This window comes from Homo sapiens, chromosome 5 (genome assembly GCF_000001405.40).
Source record: "Homo sapiens chromosome 5, GRCh38.p14 Primary Assembly".
Lineage (NCBI taxonomy): Eukaryota > Metazoa > Chordata > Mammalia > Primates > Hominidae > Homo > Homo sapiens.
In genome coordinates this window covers 150,844,764-150,871,646 of record NC_000005.10, presented here as the reverse complement: position 1 = coordinate 150,871,646, position 26,883 = coordinate 150,844,764, and the positions used below count along the sequence as shown (strand labels likewise).

Here is a 26,883-nt window from a genome sequence, read left to right as displayed (position 1 = left end):
TCTGTTCACACTCTTGGGCTTCCATAAGGAAAAACAGGTTTATCCCCCAAAGGGAGTCTGGGGCCTTCTCTGTTTTCTTTAAGGAACCCCACCCAGGCTGTTATAAACTATTTTAGGTCCCTCATGCAGCAGAGGGTGCAAGAGAAAGGAGAGACAGCAGAAGTAAATGAACAAAACAGAGTTTGATCAGCTGAGAAGACAAAAACTTTTGCTCAATAAAAAGGACAACGTCCTAGGAAAGGAAACAAAAAACAAATATAAAGGCCTTTTAAATACAAACACACATAGACACAGACACATCTTGGAGGTTAGCTTTTAATTAAGCTGACTTTAACCATTGAGCTCTTAAAACAAAATCTTTTTAAATCTCATTACCATATTTCAGCTAGGGCAGATTGCCACTATTTCAGAAGTACCAAGTATCAAACCAGAAAGAACTTGATTTAGGAACCAAAATCCAGGCTGTCATGGTGGAAAAAAGGCAGAACCTTAGCTATCAAACTGTAGCATGGGGTGACAGCCATTGCTTTCAGTTTCACCTGGCTAGCAAAAGGGTTGCCTTGTATGTAAATAAAGCCCCTTAAGTAGTCAAAATCAGAAATCTTTCCTTTTTTGTTTTCCTTTTTCTGGCCGTTTTTCTCCTCCCACCATACCACTTTTTTTTTTTGGTGGGAATTTAGCCATTTCAGAGACCTCATTCCTCATAATTTGGAGCTTTCCTTCAGATTCGATCAAGACGGATAGAGTTGGTCAAACCCAATGGGAAACAAATCAAAACAACAAAAACAGAAACAAACAACAATAACAACAACAAAAAAACAGTTAAGCAAAACAAATGATCGCGTAACTTATATGATTACTGAGTGCTCTAATGGTAAGGAGAAATTAAGACCAGATGGCTGTTAATTTTAACTTTAGCCAAGACAAACCCCAACTTAGTTACCTACCTAGGAATGGGTCTCAGGCTGAAGACTTCTCTCTACCATCCTAGGACCAGGAAAAAAATCTCATATTCCCTATTGGAAGCAAGCTGAAATTCCATAAAGGAGTCAACTGCTGTCCATCATCTTGAAAGCAGGAAGAGCTTGCCTTCCTTGTGCTGAAAGCAAGTAAAACTCCAAAAAAAAAAAAAAAAAAGGAGTTGTATAGCAAAATAAAATTTAGATCTTGATTAAATTTGGGGAGATTAAGGATTCTCTGGAGGGTGTGCTTCCAGGCCTCAGCAAATTGTCTTACTGGTTTGACCCATAAAGATAGCTCAAGCTGGTACCAAGCACTGATATGAGCTTTGTCAAAAATCAAGGGCATCTCCACCCAGAATCCCTTTGTAGTTACCAAAATGTAAACCCCCAAAATCTGAGACAGGTCTCAGTTAATTTAGAAAGTTTATTTTGCCGAGGTTAGGGATGTGCACCTATGTGTTGTCTGTAATGGTTCCTATTTTGATTAATAAAGATGTGTTTGAGCCTAGTTATAATAATTTAAAATTCACGGTCTGAAACTGCAATTACTTTTGCACCAATGTAAGTATACATCTTACTGCAAATTTCCCTTTATTCTCATCTGTACCCCAGATATTAGCATTATTTTTCTTTCCTCCTTGGAGATATAGGCTTGGATCCTCCATGTCCACAGGCTTTGGAGGTCTTTTGGAATCTTTAGTAATTCCTGTTATTTTTTAAATCCCTCTTAAAGAAGTATAATACACAGGGGGAATTTGCAAATATCTTCACCATATTGAGAGCAACATGAGACAAATTGAGAGCAATAATCAAAGCTGATCCTCTTACAACTATACGAAAAGTTGCCAAAGAACTCAATGTTGACCCTTCTGTGGTCGTTTGGCATTTGAAGCAAATTGGAAAGGTGAAAAAGCTTGATAAGTGGGTGCCTCATGAGCTGAGTAAAAAATAAAAAGAGAAGTTATTAACATACAACCCTCACAGATTAAACCAGGAAGAAATAGAAACCCTGAACAAACCCATAACAAGCAGCAAGATTGAAATGGTAATTTTAAAATTGCCAACAAAAAAGTCCAGGACCAGATGGATTCACAGTTAAATTCTTTCAGATATTCAAAGAAGAATTGGTGCCAGTCCTATTGAAACTATTCCAAAAGATAGGGAAAGAGAGAATCCTCTCTAAATCATTCTATGAAGTTAGTATCACCCTAATACCAAAGCCAGGAAAGGACAATATCAAAAAGGAAAACTACAGATCAATATCCCCGATGAACATAGATACAAAAATCCTCAACAAAATACTAGCTAACTGAATCCAACAGCATATCAAAAAGATAATCCACCATGATCAAATGGGTTTCATACCAGGGACACAGGGATAGTTTAATATATGCAAGTCAATAAATGTGATACACCACATAAACAGAATTAAAAACAAATTCACACGATCATCTCAACAGAGAAAAAACATTTGACAAAATCCAGCATCCCTTTATGAATAAAACCCTTAACAAAATCAGCATAGAAAGGACATACCTTAAGGTAATAAAAGCCATCTATGAGAAACCCACAGCCAACATTATATTGAATGGGGAAAAGTTGAAAGAATTCCCCCTGAGAACTGGAACAAGACAAGAATGCCCACTATCACCACTTCTATTAAACATAGTACTGGAAGTCCTGGCCAGAGCAATCAGAAAAGAGAAGGGAACAAAGGGCATCCAAATCGGTAAAGAGAAAGTCAAACTGTCACTGTTTACTGGTGAATTGTATACCCAGAGAACCATAAAGACTTATCCAAAAAGCTCCTAGATCTGATAAATGAATTCAGTGAAGTTTCAGAATTTAATGTAAAATTAATGTACACAAATCAGTAGCACAGCTACACACCAACAGTGACCAAGCTGATAATCAAATCAAGAATGTAACTGCTTTTATAATAGCTGCAAAACAAAAACAACAACAAAACCCACTTAGGAATATACCTAACCAAGGAGGTGAAATACCTCTACAAGAAAAACTTCAAAACACTGGTGAAAGAAATCATAGGTGACACAAACAAATGGAAACACTTTGCATACTCATGAATGGCTGGAATCAATATTGTGAAAATGACCTTACTGCCAAAAGCAATCTGCAAATTAAATGCAATTCCCATCAAAATACCATCATCATTCTTCACAGAACTAGAAAAAACAATCCTAAAATTTACATGGAACAAAACAAGAGCCTGCACAGCCAAAGCAATACTAAGCAAAAAGAACAAATTTGGAGGCATCACATTACCTGACTTCTAATTATACTATAAGGCTACAGTCATTAAAACAGCATGGCACTGGTATAAAAATAGGCACATAGACCAATGAAATAGAATAGAGAACCCAGAAATAAACCCAAATACTTACAGCAAACTGATCTTCAACAAAGCAAACAAAAACATAAAATAGGGAAATGACACTGTATTCAACAAATGATGCTGGGATAATTGGCAAGTCACATGTAGAAGAATGAAACTGGATACTTATCTCTCATCTTATATAAAAATCAACTCAAGATGGATCAAAGACTTAAGTCTAAGACCTGAAAACATAAAAATTCTAGAAGATATTAGAAAAACCTTTCTAAACATTGGCTTAGGCAAAGACTTCATGACCAAGAACCCAAAAGCAAATGCAACAAAAGCCAAGATAAATAATTAAACTAAAAACTTTCTGCACAGCAAAAGAAATAATCAGCAGAGTATACAGACAACCCACAGAGTGGAAGAAAATCTTTTGCAAACTATGCATTCAACAGAGGACTAATGTCCAGAATCTACAAGGAACTAAAAGAAATCAGCAAGAAAAAAAAAAAACAAATAATCCCATCAATACGTGGGCTAAGGACGTGAACAGACAATTCTCAAAAGAAGATATACAAATGGCCAAGAAACATTAAAAAATGCTCAACATCACTAATTATCGGGAAATGCAAATCAAAACCACAATGCAATACTATCTTACTCCTGCAAGGATGACTATAATTTAAAAATTAAAAAAAAAATAGATGTTGGCATGGATGTTGTGAAAACAGAACACTTTCACACTGCTGGTAAGAATGTAAACTAGTACAACCACTATGGAAAACAGTATGGATATTTCTTAAAGAACTAAAAGTAGATCTACCATTTGATCCAATAAACCTACTACTGAATATGTCCCCAGTGGAAAAGGAGTCATTATACAAAAAAGACACTTGCAGATGCATGTTTATAGCAGCAAAATTCACAATCTCAAAAATATAGAACCAGCCCAAATGCCCATCAATCAATGGGTGGTGTATATATATACCATGGAATACTACTCAGCCATAAAAAGGAATGAAATAACAGTATTTGCCACAACCTGGATGGAGTTGGAGACCATTATTCTAAGTGAAGTAACTCAGGAATGGAAAACCAAATATCGTATGTTCTCACTTATAAGTGGCAGTGAAGCTATGAGGACACAAAGGCATAAAGATGATAAAATGGACTTGGTGACTCAGGGGGAAGATGACTACACATTGGGTACAGTGTACACTGTGCGGGTGATGAGTGCACAAAATTTCAGAAATCACCACTAAGGAATTTATCCATGTAACCAAACACCACCTGTTCCCCAAAAACCTACTGAAATTTAAAAAAGAGAGAAAAAGATGTGTTATTTCAAAGTGAAATATTAGTGACTGAAATGAGTACACTGAAGTTTCTGCACTTCACTATGTGTTATGTCAATAAAACAAATAAGCAAAAAAAATCACTTGCAAATAGATCAAAAAGTAAAAATGTTGTCATCAGAAATGAAAATTATTTTAGTGGGTAATCAGAATATGAAAGGTTCAATCTACTTCACATTTTTGAAGACTATTTCAGTGTTCCCCCTAAGATACTCATCTCTTGGAAAACGGTAAATGAATGTGCTAAAGGTTATTCATATTATCAGTTACAGTTATAAAGCAATGGAATTATTTGGGAATAAGAGCTGGTGGGGTTACAATATCTTGTTTTAATATCTGTACATGGGATATTTTCACTTTTTTTCCTCCTGCAGAATTTTCACATCTTCAAACTTATACTCTCCTTTTTATTGATTTTTGTCAGAAGTTTCTTTATGTAACATTACCAAAAAGACAATGGGTTGTACCATCTTCAAAATTTCAGATCATCTCATCTGTCCATAATGGCATCTGTCACTGCATTGGTTTCCAAGTCAAGCAGTGGGTGAACTTTCCAGCCTTCTCAAAAAAATGTCCCAAAGGCTGTTTTAATTCCATCTGGAATTAGAGTATGCCAGTGCCATGGAGGAAGCAGTTTTTCTTCTTTCTCTTCTCCCTAAATGTGGTCACTCCCACACCCTCAGGTGAGCTACTTGCCGTTGGCAGGCATCATTCTTTCCTTTGCCATGGCTCATGTCAGTACAGCCAAAATACCTGCCACAGGAATTCCTAGCCAGGATACTGGAAATGACTTATCAGAATCTGGGCTGCCTTAGATTGGAATCAATGGCTCACAAAACCGTGGAAACTCAGAATCACGGAACAATAGAACCTGGGAGCAGACTGTACAGGGAGTTAACAATGTAATTTCTTGAAGTTAAAAAGACATCCTTGGCTGAGCGCAGTGGCAAACGCCTCTAATCCTAGCACTTTGGGAGGCCAAGGCGGGTGGATCACTTGAGGTCAGGAGTTTAAGACCAGCCTGGCCAACATGCTGAAACCCCATCTCTACCAAAAATACAAAAATTAGCCGGGCATGGTGGTGCGTGCCTGTGGTCCCAGCTACCCAGGAGGCTGAGGCAAGAGAATCGCTGGAACCCAGGAGGCAGAGTCTGCAGTGAGCCAAGATTGTGCCACTGCACTCCAGCCTGGGCAACAGAGTAAGACTCCGTCTCAAAAAAAAAAGTCATCTTTTCTGATAATGAAGAATATTTTCCTTCTTATACACCCTTAGTTTAGAAATGTGGAGAGGCGTGTTTTCCCATAAAGAACAAGCCTGTTAATATTTGTTGGTTGCTGATATTATACAGTCCTGGTGAATTTTTCCTCTTCATTGCTAGTAAGTTTTCCCCAATGAAGTCTATTTTAGCCAGTGTAAGTAGGGCAATAACATCTTTCTTTTGAATAGTGTTTGAATAATGTATATGTATTTTCATCCTTTCTGTTTCAAGATTTCTGTAACCTAATATTTAAAATCTATATCTGCTATAAGCATATAGTTTTTAAAAACTCACTCTACTAATCTTTGCCTTTTACATAATATTTAGTCTATTAACATTTAATGAAATTTTGATATATTTGAGTTTATATGTAACATCTTCCAAATTATTGTCCATTTCTCCTGCCTGTTTTAGTTCTTTTTCTAATATACTTTTGAATTGGCTGAATATTCTTTAATATTCTATTTTTCCTTTTCCTTTCTCTTAGCTTGTGAGTTATGCATTCCTCCTCCACTAATCCTTTTGTGCTTGTATATGTGTTTGTATTCTAATATATGTCAATAATGTTAACGCTTACTGGTCAGAAGTAAATATTTAGAAAAATTTAACTCCATTTATTCCCTTTCTAATTTATGTTCTAATGTTACTCTACATGGGTATGTGGTAGATGGTATGCATCACACATCCTCTCACCAGCAAGAAGAGAAAGAGACAAACAGAGAGATGGGAGAGATGGGAAATGGTCTGTGAAGTTTTATTTCACCTTCTCCTTATAACTCTGGTCCTGGGGTTTTCATGAAGCATCAGGACACGCCCATCGTCAAGAGCAATAATCAGTCATCCAGCTACATTTTTATCTCCCTGACTCTGTTTCCCTGTCCCATGGTCTTTATGGCCATTGCACAGCACTAACGTGCTGCCTCCAACAAACACCCATTGAAATTGCATTTACAATAGTGGCTTACATTCTTGCCAGGATTGGTCAAAGCCAATGTACAGAATAGGAGTTTGGACAGACGGGGGAAAATCTGTGGGCAGACCCAACCTTGTGATAGGAGAAAAATAGGCTGACAGGACATCATGGCTCATTGTCTGCCATTTGCCATTCTGTAAAGCAGAGCCCACAGCCTACCATTCCAGGGTGTGCCTCAGACATGATAGTGAAGGAAGAAAGCACAGGACCTGCAGGTGAGAGGATTGAATTGTAAAGAGATTTGAAAGGGTTGACTAGTAATGACGAAGACATACAGCTGTTAGGAAGTAATGTTTAATGTGGAAGAGAGGAGCAATGTGAAATCCAGGGCTTTGGGAACAAGAGGAACAAGAGCTGGGGAGAAGGAAATCTACATAGAAGAAAAACTTGGGAAGTAAGGATTCCTTTTTCTACGATGGGAAAAATTAATTTTAATAAGGAAATGAATCATGAGAAATATAGTAATAGCAAAGCAAATAGTGAAAAAATGCATAAACAAAGGTAAAAGATGGAAAAGAAGGTCAAGCGTCTGGCTGGCCAGAGCAGAAGGGACTGGTTTGGCAGGGCTAGAGTGATCAACAACTAGTTCCTCCCAGGTAAGATTTTGTCCTGTAGCCCTTTTGTTTTCTTGGGACCCTGGATAGATTCCAGCTCTGTGCCTGAAATTTAGGGCTCCAAGAGAAATTGCATAGTAGTATTTGTGCAGGAAGTACAGCCAGGGGCTAAGAAAAACCAGGTCCTGGCTGTTACCTATGGCTTTACCTATGGCTCAAGATAATGGTGAAGTTACAACCTGAGGATCATGAGGCCTTTGACAGGCTGCTTGGTAAGTGCCTCCAGATCTCTCCCTCAAATCCTATTTCTCTTAAACAGGAAGACCCTTTCAAAACTAGCTTCCCCAAAGCAGTGCCTGCTTACTGATTACATGTCAAGAACATTTAGAAAATGATAAAAGGTTAGGCTATATAGCACTATACTTGGGAATGAAATTATCGGTTCAGGTGTAGCTTCTGCAGTTATGAAGTTTCTGGATCTTATTTCTTGCATTGCAAAATGGGGACCAGAACACTAACCCCATACCCTGTTGGGAATATTAAATATGAATGAGAATGTCTTTGTAAATTCCAAACTGATGCATTTATGTATTATGAAGAATTATAATTGTTCATTTAAAATTCTTAGTTATACAGATGTTAAAAAATTATAACCTCATATATTTACATCTATCAGGAGCCTTGAAATTGGGATTTACTGTCCCAAAATTATCCAGAGGTAATCATTATATTTTATCCCATATTGTTATGGACTTATTTTATATACAAATCTATTTTTTCTCCAATATCATCAGCCTCGAATAGAACATTTCCACTGAACTTGCAAAAATTTCAACACTGTTATTCATTAAAACAAGCACCTTTTTGAGCTCCCTTCTTTTAGATATTTCCTTTTTACTCTTCTTCAGAAGCAAGCTTCTTTAAACAGTGGTCTAAAACTTTTTTCTGCAGCTTTACTTCATATTCACTAGTCATACCATTATATTCCTGTGCTCTGTTCTGCGCCAGTTTCACAGATGTCTCTCTTTCTAAAGCACATATGAAATTCTGTTTTCTAAATTTGACAGACACAAACCCTAAATTAGTGCAACCCTAAGAAGAATCTCTCAGTGTGGCCACTTCTTCATTTTATTATCATTCCATTCCATGTCTCTACTGTTTTGTTTTTCTTTTCCTGTTATTTCTTCTCAACTCCCCCATAAATTCTTCTTTCTTTCTTCTTCTGCCCCTGAAAGGTTAGCATTTTCTAAGGTCTTTTTTTTAGCCTTCTTCTCCTCCCTGCCAATGGGCAGCAGTAGTGCCAGACGGAAAGTGAGGCTGGTGTGTTCATTCCTTACATCCCTCTTTGCAAGATCTAACTTCCCAGGTCCCTCCTGGTCTAGGGCTGTCATTGCTCTCCAATGTTGCTAGCCCCAGGATGCTTCTTGTATCTCTTAGTTTAGCAGGGCCAGTCAACTTTAGATAAATTATACTGCAGTTAAAAACCTTCCTATAATCTCAGTGACAGTCAATAGACTTAATTTATTACCTCTTTTACATACCTAGAGTAGGTCAGCTCAAAAATTTAGGCTGATGAATATCTAAGAACTTGCTTGGGGAGAGAATAAAAGAGAAGGTGGCAGATCAGATGGCAATTCTTAAATCTTCTTAAAAGCAGCACATATCACTTCCCCCACAATCCATTGGCTGAAATAAGTCATATGGTCAGGTCTGAAATGTATGATGTAAACAGTTTAATTGTCTCTCAATGAGGAGGCTGGTGTGGCAGACAGACTCTAAAACAGTTCCCAATTATTCCCTCCTTTGATATTCACCCCTTGTACAATCTCCTTGAATGTGGACAGGAACTGTGGCCTGCTTCTAACCAACAGACTATAGCAAAGGTGATGGGGTGTCACTCTGTGACTACATTACGTAAGATTATATCCTGTGTCTTACTAGGACTTCCTCTTCCTTGCTAATTTTGATGACATATTCTGTTATGTTGAGAGCTACACTATGGAAAATAAGTGCCACATGGCAAGGAACTGAGGGTGGCTTCAACTCACAACCAACAAGGAAAAAACTCTTGAAAAAATGAATTCTGCCAATAATGTGAGTGAGCTTGGAAGCAGATCCTTTTCCACTTGAACATTCAGATGAGACCACACCCCTGGCTGGGAACTTCATCATAGCCCATGAGAGACATTGAATCAAAAGACTCAGCCCAATTGTACCTGGGCTTCTCATCCACATAATCTGTAAGATAATAAACATGTATTTTATTAAGTCTCTAGTTTGTGGTAGTTTTATGCAGCAATAGTTAATAATCCATATTTGAGGGTTCTGGTAGGAAATAATATGAAATATTTTTTTCAAATAATTCAATCTGCACAGTCCACTTTTCTGGATATTTGCAAATATTCATTTCTTTCCTTTAGCATGCAAAACATCCTCACCCCCTCCTTAAAGGATGCATCCAAAATTTCCATCATCTTGGCCTAAGACTCAAAGTCCTGAATGTCATCATTATTTGTACATAAGTTTCAGATGGACTATTACTTAATCTAGAGACCTGCGACTAAAAATCGCAAGTTATCTCCCTCCACTCCCAACATCCAATGAACAGAGACAGGATAACAAGAACAAACATGCCCATTTGGAAAGAGAAAAAAAGTGAAAGCTGGTGGTAATCTCTTACATTGATGATACTAATGAACAACTCCCTCTGGTGTTCCCCTCATTTAGTCCCCTCCTCTTGAATCTGACCCTGCCCTGTGACTTGTTTGAATGTAGAATGCTGTGAAGTAATTTTGTGCTACTTCCTGTCCTAAGCCTTAAAAAGACCTGATAGCTTCTAATTTTGCACTCCTAGGATCCAGCCCCCAAAGAAGAGGTATGATTGTCCTGAAACTACGATACTTTGAAGGAACTCTGAGAGAGCCACTTGGAGAGGCTACATGAGGGAGTACAAAAGGGCTCTAAATGACAGCCCCATGTAAAATCCCAGCCTATAGCAAGGACCAACTGCCACCATCGTACACATTCCAAATCAGTTGAACCTCCAGTGAGCCATCTTGGATATTTCAAACCACTGGAGCCTTCAGGTGACTGAGGTTATAGCTCCCACCACATAGAGAACTACCTAGGTGAGGCCAACTAAATCACAGACTCATGAACAGCAATAAATACTTGTTACTGATTGAAGCCATTCAGTTATGGGTGTCTGATACCATCCACTGAGCAATCTTAAAATCTTGACAGACATTAGAGTGCACATGATAAGACAAAATTTAAACTATACAATACCATCATGTAATATACTCTGAAAAAAAAATCAGTTTCCTAGATCTCACAATTAGTTCACAGGAGATACAGAGAGGGAGAACTAAGTTAACATAAAAAGTCCAGTGAGCAAGGCAGGTAGCACAGACCCCGAGCAATCAGCCTAGTAGCTGTGTCTGTGTGATGCAGAGGCACTAAGTTGGGAGGTCCCAAGGCAGCAGCAGAAGCAATAGTGGTGGCAAACAGTGGCCACAGCCTGGGGAGCAGCACAGGGATCTGGGTGGAAGGCTGGCCAGTCTGTCCATCTTGGACCTTGTTCCTGTGGTGCCTGCATAATTATTAACTCTTTGGCATGAGCTCCAGGACAGGGACTGTGGTTGCTCAGGAAGTAAAGTTTCTTAGTAAACTATTACAAAATAACAGCGTACACATGGGCATTGCAATCAAGTATATTGGAGTTATTAGGATTTAGGATTCCCCCAAAAGTTCAGAATGTCCAGTTTTGAACACTGTTGCATCAGTGCCAAGAAAACACCCACAGGTTTAGAAAGAGAACTGAAACTCAAAGATTATCCAATTTAACAGACTATTTTTATATGAGGCTTTTGATAAACCACTTATTCATAAAACAATTTGAGCATTAATTTTCCTTGTAATGGAGGATCCAGTAATGAAATGCATAAACAGGTGTTTTACACTGTATCATAAAGGCACTTTGTGTTTCTTGTATGAACTTTATAAGGTACAAAAATGTTATAGGAGACGTTAAATTGCCATTGTATAAATTTACGTTTAAATTGTGACATTGCATCACAATTTTCTCCTGTTAGTATTCCAAAATATTTGGTAGTCATGCATTATTTAGCTATATTGAGCAATGAAATCTATTTTAGGGAGTAGTGCATTATTTAGCCATATTGGGCAATGAAATCTATAAAGCTTCTCCCAGTGAGAGGTGCCAGGGTCAAGCTATCCTCCCCTAGGTGACTGTTAAGATGACCTCACCCATTTCTTAGTTGTCATCCTGTACAATCAAGTCAGTAGTTGAAAATGGATGGATCCATTTTTTTGAAAAGATCAACAAAATTGATAGACCGCTAGCAAGACTAATAAAGAAGAAAAGAGAGAAGAATCAAATAGATGCAATAAAAAATGATAAAGGGGATATCACCACCGATCCCACAGAAATACAAACTACCATCAGAGAATACTATAAACACCTCTATGCAAATAAACTAGAAAATCTAGAAGAAATGGATAAATTCCTGGACACATACATCCTCCCAAGACTAAACCAGGAAGAAGTTGAATCTCTGAATAGACCAATAACAGGCTCTGAAATTGAGGCAATAATCAATAGCTTACCAACCAAAAAAAGTCCAGGACCAGATGGATTCACAGCCAAATTCTACCAGAGGTACAAAGAGGAGCTGGTACCATTCCTTCTGAAACTATTCCAACCAATAGAAAAAGAGGGAATCCTCCCTAACTCATTTTATGAGGCCAGCATCATCCTGATACCAAAGCCTGGCAGAGACACAGCCAAAAAAGAGAATTTTAGACCAATATCCTTGATGAACATCGATGCAAAAATCCTCAATAAAATACTGGCACACCGAATCCAGCAGCACATCAAAAAGCTTATCCACCATGATCAAGTGGGCTTCATCCCTGGGATGCAAGGCTGGTTCAACATACACAAATCAATAAATGTAACCCAGCATATAAACAGAACCAAAGACAAAAACCACATCATTATCTCAATAGATGCAGAAAAGGCCCTTGACAAAATTCAACAACGCTTCATGCTAAAAACTCTCAATAAATTAGGTATTGATGGGACGTATCTCAAAATAATAACAGCTACCTATGACAAATCCACAACCAATATCATACTGAATGGGCAAAAACTGGAAGCATTCCCATTGAAAATGGGCACAAGACAGGGATGCCCTCTCTCACCACTCCTATTCAACATAGTGTTGGAAGTTCTGGCCAGGGCAGTCAGGCAGGAGAAGGAAATAAAGGGTATCCAATTAGGAAAAGAGGAAGTCAAATTATCCCTGTTTGCAGATGGCATGATTGTATATCTAGAAAACCCCATCATCTCAGCCCAAAATCTCCTCAAGCTGATAAGCAACTTCAGCAAAGTCTCAGGATACAAAATCAATGTACAAAAATTACAAGCATTCTTATACACCAATAACAGACAAACAGAGAGCCAAATCATGAGTGAACTCCCATTCACAATTGCTTCAAAGAGAATAAAATACCTAGGAATCCAACTTACAAGGGATGTGAAGGACCTCTTCAAGGAGAACTACAAACCACTGCTCAAGGAAATAAAAGAGGATACAAACAAATGGAAGAACATTCCATGCTTATGGGTAGGAAGAATCAATATCGTGAAAATGGCCATACTGCCCAAGGTAATTGATAGATTCAATGCCATCCCCATCAAGCTACCAATGACTTTCTTCGCAGAATTGGAAAAAACTACTTTAAAGTTCATATGGAACCAAAAAAGAGCCCACATCACCAAGTCAATCCTAAGCCAAAAGAACAAAGCTGGAGGCATCGCACTACCTGACTTCAAACTATACTACAAGGCTACAGTAACCAAAACAGCATGGTACTGGTACCAAAACAGAGATATAGACCAATGGAACAGAACAGAGCCCTCAGAAATAATGCCGCATATCTACAACTATCTGATCTTTGACAAACCTGACAAAAACAAGCAATGGGGAAAGGATTCCCTATTTAATAAATGGTGCTGGGAAAACTGGCTAGCCATATGTAGAAAGCTGAAACTGGATCCCTTCCTTACACCTTATACAAAAATTAATTCAAGATGGACTAAAGACTTAAACATTAGACCTAAAACCATAAAAACCCTAGAAGAAAACCTAGGCAATACCATTCAGGACATAGGCATGGGCAAGGACTTCATGTTTAAAACACCAAAAGCAATGGCAACAAAAGCCAAAATTGACAAATGGGATCTAATTAAACTAAAGAGCTTCTGCACAGCAAAAGAAACTACCATCAGAGTGAACAGGCAACCTACAAAATGGGAGAAAATTTTCGCAACCTACTCATCTGACAAAGGGCTAAGATCCAGAATCTACAACTCAAACAAATTTACAAGAAAAAAACAAACAACCCCATCAAAAAGTGGGTGAAGGACATGAACAGGCACTTCTCAAAAGAAGACATTTATGCAGCCAAAACACACATGAAAAAATGCTCACCATCACTGGCCATCAGAGAAATGCAAATCAAAACCACAATGAGATACCATCTCACACCAGTTAGAATGGCGATCATTAAAAAGTCAGGAAACAACAGGTGCTGGAGAGGATGTGGAGAAATAGGAACACTTTTACACTGTTGGTGGGACTGTAAACTAGTTCAACCATTGTGGAAGTCAGTGTGGCGATTCCTCAAGGATCTAGAACTAGAAATACCATTTGACCCAGCCATCCCATTACTGGGTATATACCCAAAGGAATATAAATCATGCTATAAAGACACATGCACACGTATGTTTATTGCGGCACTATTCACAATAGCAAAGACTTGGAACCAACCCAAATGTCCAACAATGATAGACTGGATTAAGAAAATGTGGCACATATACAACATGGAATACTATGCAGCCATAAAAAATGATGAGTTCATGTCCTTTGTAGGGACATGGATGAAACTGGAAACCATCATTCTCAGCAAACTATCGCAAGGACAAAAAACCAAACACCACATGTTCTCACTCATAGGTGGGAAATGAACAATGAGAACACATGGACACAGGAAGGGGAACATCACACACTGGGGACTGTTGTGGGGTTGGGGGAGGAGGGAGGGATAGCATTAGGAGATATACCTAATGCTAAATGACGAGTTAATGGGTGCAGCACACCAACATGGCACATGTATACATATGTAACAAACCTGCACATTGTGCACATGTACGCTAAACCTTAAAGTATAATAAAATAAAATAATAAATAATAAATAATAAATATTTATTTATTTAATAATATTTAATTAATAATATTAATTAATAATTAATAAATAACAATAAAATAAAATAAAAAAAGAAAATGGATGGATCCACAGCAGGTGTATGTATATGGATGAGGAAGAGGGATTAAGAAAATGCAGCAGGCCCCATGCAGTGGCTCACACCTGTAATCCTAGCACTTTGGGAGGCCGAGGCAGGTGGATTGCTTGAGCCCAAGAGTTTGAGACCAGTCTGGGAAACATAGCAATACCCTGTCTCTGAAAAATAAAAAAACTGCAGCAGTATTTTAAAGGTTGGTGCATGGAAGTCATGGAAGGAACACTACCCCAATTGGTAGATATTGAAAAAAATATTACCAACATCACAGTTAACATAGAGGATACACAAATATAAATAGAATGTTTAAAAATCACCCTTAGAGAGAGTAGAATTTTGATACATTTTATTTTATTTTATAATTTTTATTTATTTATTTATTTTTGAGACAACGTCTCGCTCTGTTGCCCAGGCTGGAGTGCAGTGGTGCGATCTCAGCTCACTGCAGCCTCTGCCTCCCAGGTTCAAGCAATCCTCCTGCCTCAGCCTCCTGAATAGCTGGGACCACAGGTGCACACCACCATGCCTGGCTAATTTTTGTACTTTTAGTAGAGACAGAGTTTCACCATGTTGGCTAGGATTGTCTTGATCTTCTGACCTCATGATCCACCTGCCTTGGCCTCTCAAAGTGCTGGGATTACAGGTATGAGCCGCCACCCCCAGCCTTGATACATTTTATTTTTTAAATCACATATTTAACTTATAAAATTTGGACATATATATACATACTTTTAAAATACTATTTTCTGAAATATTCCCCCATGATAGTCAATGCTGTTAGAGATTTATAATTTATTGTTATAATTTTAAAATCTCTTGAGTTTTGAAGTTAAAACATGTTTTAACTTTTAAAAATTGAGTGTCTCCTAATTAACATCTGGAGAAACTGTTCTTTAAGAGAATGCTTCAGAAAGTCTAAATTAATTGATATCAAATTTTCCCCTTTTACAAAACATATTGTTTCTGTGTTTTTGCCTTCTTCCTAATAGTCTTATTTCACATTTGGCTAGTTTATTTTTCTTTTGCTGCAGTGAACATACTAGTGGTTTATATTTCACTGTTTCTCATTTTATCTGCTCCACTCTGGTAACCAGGTTACTCAGGTCAATAAAACCTGAAGAAAGAGCCCCTATGTCATTCCTAAGTGAACTCAAACTACAGGTGGTGAAAAGATGAAGGTGCCTTAAAGAATCTACCATGTTGGAAAATCAGACCTAGTACGCTGACCTCAAGGCTACCTTACCATTCCTCCTTGTCACTTTTTTGATAAGTTTACATTCTTCCTAATCTGATCACTTCCCATATGCCTACTAAATATCTAAGTCAGCAAGAGAAACCGTTTCAGTCACTTCTCTGGTGGCCAACAGAAAAATTAATCATTTCATTGATTTTAATAAAATTCAACTACTTACTAAGTCATCACAAAATTATAATGAATAAAACAAACTCTTCCTTAAGGATAAAGAAAAAAATGAGAAAATTTCACTGTGCTTCCATTTATTTTTAAGCTGCCAATTATTACATTTATTTTTAATTAGAAAATAAATCTAAGTTTGAGAAAAATTACTCTGCATGTTGAATTTCATTTACCTCATCAACAAAGATATACTAGGAGCTACACCAAGTAGGAGAATTTTGAAAAGTGTAACTCAAAGCAATGCTGGCTAGCAGCCAGGCTATGAGTCTTGGTCCTACTTGTGTTCATAGTACTGAGGGATATCAGCAAAATGGTAAGCTAAGAACCTCCAAACCTTTGTTCATTCATAGAAAAAAATACTATGGATGGTTTAAATAACTTTATAGAAACTCTGAAAAACAGTCAGAAAAAAAGAGCAACCAAGTAAATTCCCATTAAGAAAAAGTCATATTCAAAATTATTGTGTTTTTACTCATTTAAAACATTATGGGACTTTGAGAAAGAGAAGAAAGGGGCAGATAATTTTTTTGAAAAAGTAATAGCCAAAAGCTTCCCAAGTTTGAGGAAAGACATACAAAGAAGCTGTATGAACCACAAGATAAAGCCAAAAAGACCCATAGTGGACAAATTGTAATCAAACTGTTAAAAGACTAATAGAATCTTAAAAGCAGCAAGCGAAAACAGACTCATCATATACAAGCTATTCTCAATAAGATTTTCAGTAAGTTTCTCAGCAGAAAGGTTGCAGGCCAGAAGGCACAGAGATGATATATTTAAGGTGCTAAAAGAAAAAGAAAAATACTTGTCAACTGAGAATTCTGTATTTAGCAAAACTGTCCTGTTAAAATTAGGCAAAAATAAATGCACCCCCAGGTAAACAAGCTAAGAGGCTACATTACTACTAGTCCTCCACTATAATCAGTGTTAAGACAGCCCTTCAAAGTTGAAATAAAATGACAATAGACAGTAACTTGAACACATAGGAAAATATAAAGATCTCCGGTAAAGGCAAATACATGGACATTATAAAAACTAATAGTTTTATATAATTTTGGCTTGTAACTACACTTTATTTTTTAAAGAATTTAAAAGGCAAATTCACAAAAATAATTATAAATCCATGTTAATAGGTACACAACATATATAAAGATTGATTTTTGACAGAAATAACATAACAAAGCAGGAAGGGAAAGTTGTAAAAAAGCAAAGTGTTGGGTGCAATTGAAGTCAAGTTGGTATTAATTCAAAATAGATTGTTATAACTTTGTACTGTCACATGTAACCTCCATGGTAACCACAAAGAAAATATCCACAAAATGTACACAAAAGGAAATAAAAAGGTAATCAAAATGTGTCACTATAAAAAATGAACTAAAAACAAAGGAAAGTAGTAATTGAGGAAATGAGAGAAAAAAAGCTATAAGACAAAGAGAAAACATCAAAATGGCAGAAGTTCCACTTTATCAGTAATTGCTTTAAATGTAAATGGATGTTTCTGTCCAATCAAAAAGCAGATATTGGTAGAATGGGGTTGGGGAGATGTGATACAATTATATGTTGTTTTTATAGATACTTTACGGATTCACTATAGATCTCAGGATACCATAGTTTGAAAGTGAAAGTGGAAGGGTGGAAAGAGATATTCCATGCAAACAGGAACTGAAAGAGAGCAGGGGTGGCTATACTAATATCAGACAAAATAGACTCTAGGTTAAATTTAAATTAAAAACTGTTACAAGAGACAAAGCAAGATACTACATGTAAGTAAAAGAATCAGTTCTAAGATATAATAATTATAAACATATGTACCAAACATCGTATCTCCAAAATATATTAACCAAGCATTGATAAAATTGGAGAGAACAAATAGACAGGTCTACAGTAATAGTAGGAAATATCAATACCCCTCTCTCAATGCTGGATAGAACCACCAGTCTTGAACAATTCTGCAGACCAATTGGACACATGCAGAACACTTCACCCAACAAGATTCCATTAGAATATATGGTTTTTTTCTTAAGTGAATATGTAACATTCTTCAGGAGAGACCATACATTAGGCCACAAAACAAGTGTTAATAAATTTTAAAAGATTGAAATTATGCAGTGTCTTTCCCAATTACTATGCAATAAAACTGAAAATATCAGAAGAAAAACTGGAAAATTCACAAATATGTGGACATTAAACAACACACTTTTAAACAACCAATGGGTTAAATAAGAAAAATTAGAAAAAACCTTAGGACAAATGAAAACACAATTTGCAAAAACTAATGGGACGCTGTAAAAGCAGTATGAAGAGGGAAAATTATAGCTTTAAATACTTACATTTTAAAAGGATAAAAGATTTCAGTTCAACAATACAACTTTATGTTTTAAGGCACTAGAAGAATAATGATCTAAACCCAAAGATAGCAGAAAAAATAAAATAACAAAAGATATGAGCAAAGATTACCATAATTCATTTGAGAATGTTGCCTAAAAATACAGTAAAGAAACTCAATATTATTTTCTCTTCTATTAGAAATTCAACAATATGCACTCTTAAAACACTTCTCCAGGAAATGAGATATTATTATAGACAAACTAACCCGAAATAGAAATAGTTGTTTGATTCTTCTGCTTGTTCCTAGAGTTGAGAATGAAAAAGGGTACATTCTTGTTGAGATTAGTTTCCAGAACTGAAGCCTCAATGGAGAATTGGCCTTTTCCATTCTCTGCAGAATATGGCTTTAAATTATGTCCTTAGAGTTCTCTCTAGCTTATCCCATGCTCTGGGTACCAGCTTTCATCCTTATACCACACTGCATCACTGGCATCACTGCTCTTAATGAGAATGTGTGAACAATTTCCTAATTTCATGAAATAAGAAGTGGACAAACAGCTCAATTAAGAGATGATTATCTAAAATGGGCTTTGATTATAGTTTTAGTATTTTGAATAAGGTGAGCCAGATGGAAATAATGTCCATCCCCTGTGCAACTTAGGTAGAAAAAATAATTCCGTTAATAGTTTAATCAGAACAAATGATTGCTCTAAGGAATCAAATGTAGCAGGAAAAGATAAGAATAAGAAATCTTTAAGAACTAAGGTTTTTAAAACATAAGAATATAAGATAATAATGAGAAGCTGAGTCTAAGAATTTATAGTAATGTCAGAAGTACACCAAAAGCTGATTGAATGGCACAGTTCTGATTTAGTCATTACGCTACCACGGAGGTCAAACTGTCAAAGCAGATTTATGAAAATTATACAGCTTACTTAATACCAAATTTTACTAATTGATGAAGAACATGAGCAAAAAGCAAGCAGAGAAACAGCAATATCCATCTTTGAAAAGGCCCAAAAGATCAGATGTACTTCCAAAAACATATATTTTTGCACTGGAATGTACTTTGTGCCTGAGTAGGAGATTAATGTTACTGTATGTATCATGTACATGCCATACATGTTAGCCCTAGGAGGCCATTTAAGTTTAGAGCTTTTTACATTCCATTAGTTGCACAGGTAGGAAACCTACATGACTAACTTTAGCTCTCCAAGTTGTGCCCTGTACTTCACAAATTCCAGATTCATCTACAATAAGCAATGCAAAAAGCCTACTAAAAACATTGTTAGATGAGAACTTCTTGGGTAATCTTCCTGCTTGTAAATACCATCAGTGGTTACAAGGAGGGAAGAGTAATGAAGCTGTTGCTAGTTCTTTCCCTTTTGTGAAGACACGGATGAAGTGCAGTGCTGGGAGTGGCAAGGGATTGAATCAAGCAAGATTCAGAAATATACAAATGATTCAATGGCCCTTTATATTCAAATCTCCAAATTTGAGTTTTATATATCATCTTCTCAAAGGAACAAAACAAAAAATTCAATCATATACAAAAATTTTGTCTATTATAAAGTTGAATGTTTGCCCCACACCTGGCCTGCCGTCGTGCATTAGGGGACCATGGATGATCAAAAGAATCCCTGTCCTGATGAGGTCCCCCTGATGCTCTTATTTATGCTAAATTGCGAACATTTGATGCACTTGGGTCTATGATTCTTTACCAGCCATACCAATCATGTCTACGACAGATAAGGGGGAGGAAGATGGAGTGCATGCAACACCCTACAGCATTCTCTGCCATTATCTGACTCTTCACCTGCTCCATCTTCCCTTCAAGACCAACGGTAGGAGGGTGCTGCTTATGGTAATCAGATCACCAGGTTGCTGTTCCAGGGCCATATGTAGGGAGTACAACCAAAAGCACAGGCTTCCCTTTATCTCTTTGTTCCTGCCCAACTATCATGTCAATTCTTGCCCTGAAATTTGATCTATCCTTCTTTTCCAGTCCAAGTAAGATGGTTTTTCTTACCTGCATGGCTTCACTGAAACCAAAACTAACATTTCCAAACACATTTCAGTTAAAAGTAGAGATGAATTTTGTTTTTCAAATTTGAAAATGCTCATTAAAATAGAAAGCTAATGTGTGCCAGCTGAGTAATACTCAGATATCTCTGTACAAGAATCCTTCATCCGTCTTTGCCTCGCAGTCCTCCTGGGCCTGGGAGCTGACATCAGGCACAGCCAGGCAGGGAAAACTCATGGCTCGCTCTCACTACAGGGGGTGGAAACCAGAATAATCAAGACCAGTCTGGCAACATAGTGAGACCTTGTCTCTACAAAAAAATTTAAAAATCAGCCAGGCATAATAAGTATGTGCTTGTGGTCCTAGCTACTCAGGAGGCTGAGGCAGGAAGATACCATGAGTTCGAGGCTCAAGTAAGCTAATAATGGCACCACTGCACTCCAGCCTAGGCAAGATAGCAAGACCCTGTCTCAAAAAAGGGGGGTACATAATAATATGTCTTCCCACTCCATATTTATTCACCCCTTACCCCTTAGAAATGACCATAATATCCTTGCAGAACTATTGTATATATACATGAGCAAGTATGCACAAGCTATTTCTCTATGTTACAGACATGGAAGCATTTCTTAAATAATGTCTAACAACCTATTTTTTCTTTAACATGTTGGTAATTGTTCTATATCAGTATATGAAGACCTCCTTTGAAGAAATTTTTAACAATTTCTTATTATTAGGAAATAGAACTTACATAATAGTGCATAATTATGTACTGTTTAAATTATAAGCACACATCTTTTACTGCCATACATATTTTTTTAAATTACGTATGTGACTAGCATCTCAATAAAGCAGACATTTTTTAAAAAATGAATGAAAGAAAGGAAAAGAAATAGGACCCTTCAGCAGCACAGAAAACTCTCTTGTTCCCCTCCAAAAGCTAGAGTTTAAAACCAGCCTGGCTACTGGGTGTATTTTTGGTTTTTTAATGAATGCTTTTACCATCTATACAGGCATCTCTCTGAAACATTATTTACTATATATTTGGCTTACAATTGCTTTATTTGACTTGGGACTTGAGGGGTAGGTTTTCTTGCATAGTTTCTGTATCCTTATCTAGCATGTCACTTATAAAATATATGTGGTGGCCAGGTGTGGTGGCTCATGCCTGTAATCCCAGCACTTTGGAAGGCCAAGGCAGGCGGATCACAAGGTCAAGAAATTCAGACCATCCTGGCCAACATGGTGAAACCCGGTCTCTACTAAAAATACAAAAATTAGCTGGGCGTGGTGGTGTGCACCTGTTGTCTCAGCTACTTGGGAGGCTGAGGCAAGAGAATCGCTTGAACCCAGGAGGCGGAAGTTGCAGTGAGCTGAGGTTGCACCACTGTACTCCAGCCTGGCGACAGAGCAAGAACCCATCTCAAAAAAAAAAAAAAAAAAAAGAGAGAAAAAGAAAAATTACACCCATATATATGGTTAGAATTTTAAAATCCAGCCTGATGATCATTTTACTTTTAACTAAAACATTTAGTCCAATAACACTAAATATAATTATTGATATTTTCAGTTTATATGTAACATTTTATTTTGTGCTATATTTTTTCTGATGCCTTCCTTTGGATTGAGTGTATTTTTGTTACACTATTGTTTTTCTTGTCACTTGCAAGTTATATGCACAGTTTATATTCCTTCGTTAGTTAAAGATATTAGGCATTCCTTATAAACCATAAGATATTAGGCATTACTTACAAACCATAGTTTAAACTTAATCAACATTTTTACTCATGCTCTGGATAAAACAAGAACTTAGAACCCTTTAACATGGTTACTATTTTTTCTGTTTTAGAGGTTTTGTTGTAGATCTCAGTTGTGTGTTTTTAAGCCCAGAAGTCTTTATTATTACTGATAAACTCCATCTTGAGATTCAAGCAACCTGCCTCTCTACTTGCCTGTTCGAACCTGGAGAGGGCTCCTCCCGACCATTACTTGCCTTGAGGTTATACCGTGGGGTTAACATTTTGTCTTGGTGGTCTCCCTGCACCCTGTCCACACCTTTGAAAATACCCTCATTATGACTCAGTTTGAGAGTGCTAGGACCCTGATGATATAATCTTGCATCCATTTTAAGACACTGATCATTTTTAGCACCTGGTGGAGAGTTCCGTGAAGGGAAAGGACCTTCGAAGCAAGCAGCCTTGCCTGGGAATCTTGGCCCCAACACTCAAAAGATCTCAAAGAACAACACAACCACACTCTCTACATGCCCCCGAAAATTGTAAGATACCCTTCTGCACCAGGTGTGTTTCAATGAGTCCAGTGAAATAAAGGAGAAAAGGAATCAATAGGAGGAGATGGAAAATGTTTAATGAAGACAGGAATTAGTATTCACATACCCGCTCCTTCTGGAGATTTTCCAGGACATTTTCTCTGATCTGCAGTAGCTGCACTTCTGGGAGGGCACCTGTGCTGAGGTCCATGTCTAGCTTGGTCCAGACAATGTAGAACTTCTTTCCCATGTCCTCAGCGGTTTTGGCAAGCATCACATGATTCATGCTGAATTGTGCAGATGCAACCATGATGAAGTCATACCGGTTGAACTGCATTTCCATCAGGTAGTTCTCCAGGGTTGTGGTGGCAGACCCTGTGCCAGGCAGGTCCCACAACACCACATTTGAAAAGTGGGAAGAGAAATAGGAGGCACATCTTTGGGTAGCTTTTACCAGCTCAGTAGGAGGTGAGGCCTTACCCTCATGTCCTGTGTTTCGAAGGGCACTGATGAAGGTGGACATCCCATTGCCAGAGTCCCCTGCCATAGTGATGTTAACTGGTGTCCTGGACACTATCTTCAGAGTCTCCTTGATGTTAGAGATCACCTCTGGCAAGTTCCCATCTGCTGAGGCTTTCTCAACATTCATGGCTTCCATCTTCAATAAAATACCCCAATGCTGGCCAGGCGCCGTGGCTCATGCCTGTAATCCCAGCACTTTGGAAGGCCGAGGCGAGCAGATCACGAGGTCAGGAGATTGAGACCATCCTGGCCAACATCGTGAAACCTTCTCTACTAAAATACAAAAAAATTAGCTGCGCGTGGTGGTGTGCGCCTGTAGTCCCAGCTAATACAGGAGGCTGAGGCAGGGGAATCGCTTGAACCCTGGACGCAGATATTGCAGTGAGCTGAGATCACGCCATTGCACTCCAGCCTGGCAACAGAGCAAGACTCCATCTCAAAACAAACAAAACCCAATGCTTATGGTGTGGCAAAAAGAGGTTAAGGATGCAGCTAATAGAGTGTGAGGGGCACTTGGGACACTCTGTCGTATCTGTGGGCACTGGAGTAAGCTGCGGAAGTAGAAGAGCAGGTGAGTTAGGATGGACAGGGTACACATGAATCATCTGACTTTTAGCATCCCCAGCCCTCAACGAAGACTGCAGCAGACGATCTTGACTGAGTGTTCTTTGATTGTTTTTATTCAAGCAATGTGCACATTTCTTCAGGGAGCAAGAAAGGTAGGGTCCCTGAGGAACGCCCTGAGGCCGGTTGTGCCTCCGAGTCAGCCTCCAAAGCAGGCATGTGGCCATGAGATGGCTTGAAAAGCAGAGAATGAACCAAGTCTCCTGAAAAGCCCAAGAGGTTTTTGTCTTTCCCTCTTTTACTCTATCCTAATATAGGTCTGCTCCTTCACAAGTTTCAGTACATATTTCAAGACCAAAACCAGACAAGTAAAAGTGACCTATATATTTCTCTGCTGAAGATGGCGCCAGAGGACATAAAACATCCAATTCCCATTGCTTACTTGAAGCTGTGATCATCCCTGTTTAACACTTACCTCATCAGGCGGGGGAGCACACGTGCAGAGCAGTACTGAAATGCTGCAATATACGTGAAGTAAGCCACCAGCCTTTGACCCCCGAGCTTCCATTAAGACTGTCATGTTGGGCCCAACTGAAGTGAGGGAGAGGAGGAGACAGCATACTCAAATGCTCTGCTCTTTTTCAAGGCAGTGATTAGACAATTGCTTATCATTGCATTCGCCAAACCTGGCTCTTGCAGGTTCCACAAGGGGCCAGGTATTTGAGACTGATTAAAAGAAGGTGATGTGATTTCCTACTCCTACCGGAATTGGTGGGTTCTTCGTCTCACTGACTTCAAGAATGAAGCCACGGACCCTCGCGGTGAGTGTTACAATTCTTAAAGGCTGCGTGTCCGGAGTTTGTTCCTTCTGATGTTTGGATGTGTTCAGAGTTTCTTCCTTCCGGTGGGTTCGTGGTTTCACTGACTCAGGAGCGAAGCTGCAGACCTTCGAAGTGAGAGTTACAGCTCTTCAGGCGGCGAGTCTGGAGTTGTTCGTTTCTCCCCGGGGGGTTCGTTGTTTCACAGGTTTCAGGAGTGATGCTGCAGACCTTCACGGTGAGTGTTACAGCTCATAAAGGCAGTGTGGACCCAAAGAATGAGCAGCAGCAAGATTTACTGCAAAGTGCAAAAAAACAAAGCTTCCACAGCATGGAAGGGGACCTGAGCAGGTTACCACTGCTGGTTCGGGCAGCCTGCTTTTATTCTCTTATCTGGCCCACCCACATCCTGCTGATTGGTCCATTTTACAGAGAGCCGATTGGTCTGTTTTACAGAGAGCTGATTGGTCCATTTTGACAGGGTGCTGATTGGTGTGTTTACAATCCCTGAGCTAGACACAAAAGTTCTCCACCTCCCCACTAGATTAGCTAGATACAGAGTATAGATTGGTGCATTTGCAAACCTTGAGCTAGACACAGGGTGCTGATTGGTGTGTTTACAAACCTTGAGCTAGATATAGAGTGCCAATTGGTGCATTCACAATCCCTTAGCTAGACATAAAGATTCTCCAAGTCCCCACCAGATTAGCTAGGCTCAGAGTGCTGATTGGTGCATCCACAAACCCTGAGCTAGACACAGGGTGCTGATTGGTGCATTTACAATTCCTGAGCTAGACACAAAAGTTCTCCATGTCCCCACTAGATTAGCTAGATACAGAGGGTCGATTGGTGTGTTCGCAAACCCTGAGCTAGACACAGGGTGCTGATTGGTGTGTTTACAAACCTTGAGCTAGATACAGAGTGCTGATTGGTGTATTTACAATCCCTTAGCTAGACATAAATGTTGTCCAAGTCCCCACCAGACTCAGGAGCCCAGCTGGCTTCACCCAGTGGATCCTGCACCAGGCCGCAGGTGAAGCTGCCTGGCAGTCCCCGGCCATGCGCCTGCACTCTTCAGCCCTTGGGCAGTGGATGGGACTGGGCGCCGTGGAGCAGGGAGCGGCGCTCATAGGGGAGGCTCGGGCTGTGCAGGAGCCCACGGAGTGGGGCAGGGGAGAGAGGCTCAGGCATGGCGGGCTGCAGGTCCCAAGCCCTGCCCTGCGGGGAGGCAGCTAAGGCCGGGGAGAAATCCAGCACAGCAGCTGCTGGCCCAGGTGCTAAGCCCCTCACTGCCAGGGGCCATCGGGGCCGGATGGCTGCTCTGAGCGCGGGCCCGCTGAGCCCACGCCCACCCGGAACTCGTGCTGGCCCGCAAGCGACGCCCGCAGCCCCAGTTGCTGCCCGTGCCTCTCCCTCCACACCTCCCCACAAGCTGAGGGAGCCAGCTCCGGCCTTGGCCAGCCCAGAAAGGGGCTCCCACAGTGCAGCGGCGGGCTGAAGGGCTCCTCAAGTGCCACTAGAGTGGGCGCCAAGGCTGAGGAGGCTCCGAGAGCCAGCGAGGGCTGCGAGGGCTGCCAGCATGCTGTCACCTCTCACTAGCATGGCCTGGCAGGTCTGTTTCACACACTCATTGTGAACACACACAACACTGCACACAGCCACTCATACCTGGTGTGCACACTCACCCATGCCCAGCCATGTTTACTTACCCCCCCACACACACACTCTCACTCACCCTCGGCATGCACACATACACTTACTTGCATTCTGTGCACAGGCCCACACATACTCACACTGACACACGTTCACACACCCTAACATACTTAAGCTGACATGTGTAAACATGAATACATACATCCCTGTTGCACACACTACACTTGCTCACTCAGGCTGCAACATGTTCACTTACCCCACACACAAACACACAAATTCACTCGTGGTGCCACGTTCACACAAACTTATGTTTGATGCACACATGCTCACACACTCTGTGCACATATATATACACTCATGTAGGCTGACACATGTTCACTCACCTACCCTCATGCTTCGTGTGCCCAGTGCCCACACACTCTCTCACATGACACATGTTCGTACACTCATGCACACACAGA

The 26,883-nt window shown here is 39.2% G+C and overlaps 1 protein-coding gene and 1 long non-coding RNA gene across 4 annotated transcripts in view, besides 1 other annotated feature; one reads left to right on the top strand and one right to left on the bottom strand.

Moving 5' to 3' along the window:
• The window catches only part of IRGM (immunity related GTPase M), a 55,882-nt gene extending 30,756 nt beyond the window's left edge, over positions 1–25,126 (bottom strand). For 2 of the 3 annotated variants that reach the window (NR_170598.1, NM_001346557.2), the window contains exons 1-2: positions 24,427–25,126; positions 22,993–23,938 (exon numbers count right to left, since the gene is read on the bottom strand). Coding sequence is in view for 2 of the 3 variants with exons in the window: in NM_001346557.2 (NP_001333486.1) it covers positions 22,993–23,523 (531 nt within the window). In the remaining variant the exon portion in view is untranslated. Of the gene's footprint in view, positions 1–22,944; positions 23,939–24,426 lie in introns of those variants that run through there. The other variant, NM_001145805.2, reaches the window with a different exon arrangement.
• On the top strand, positions 4,808–10,634 carry LOC124901113 (uncharacterized). The gene is made up of 2 exons (XR_007059000.1): positions 4,808–6,036; positions 10,299–10,634. It is a non-coding gene; the product is annotated as an uncharacterized LOC124901113 (long non-coding RNA).
• Positions 24,246–24,540: a silencer, noted in NCBI's record as "tiled region #7532; HepG2 Repressive DNase unmatched - State 12:CtcfO". NCBI's record gives its function as "represses a minimal TATA promoter and a strong SV40 promoter by Sharpr-MPRA in HepG2 cells {active_cell/tissue: HepG2}" and the evidence as "EXISTENCE:reporter gene assay evidence [ECO:0000049][PMID:27701403]".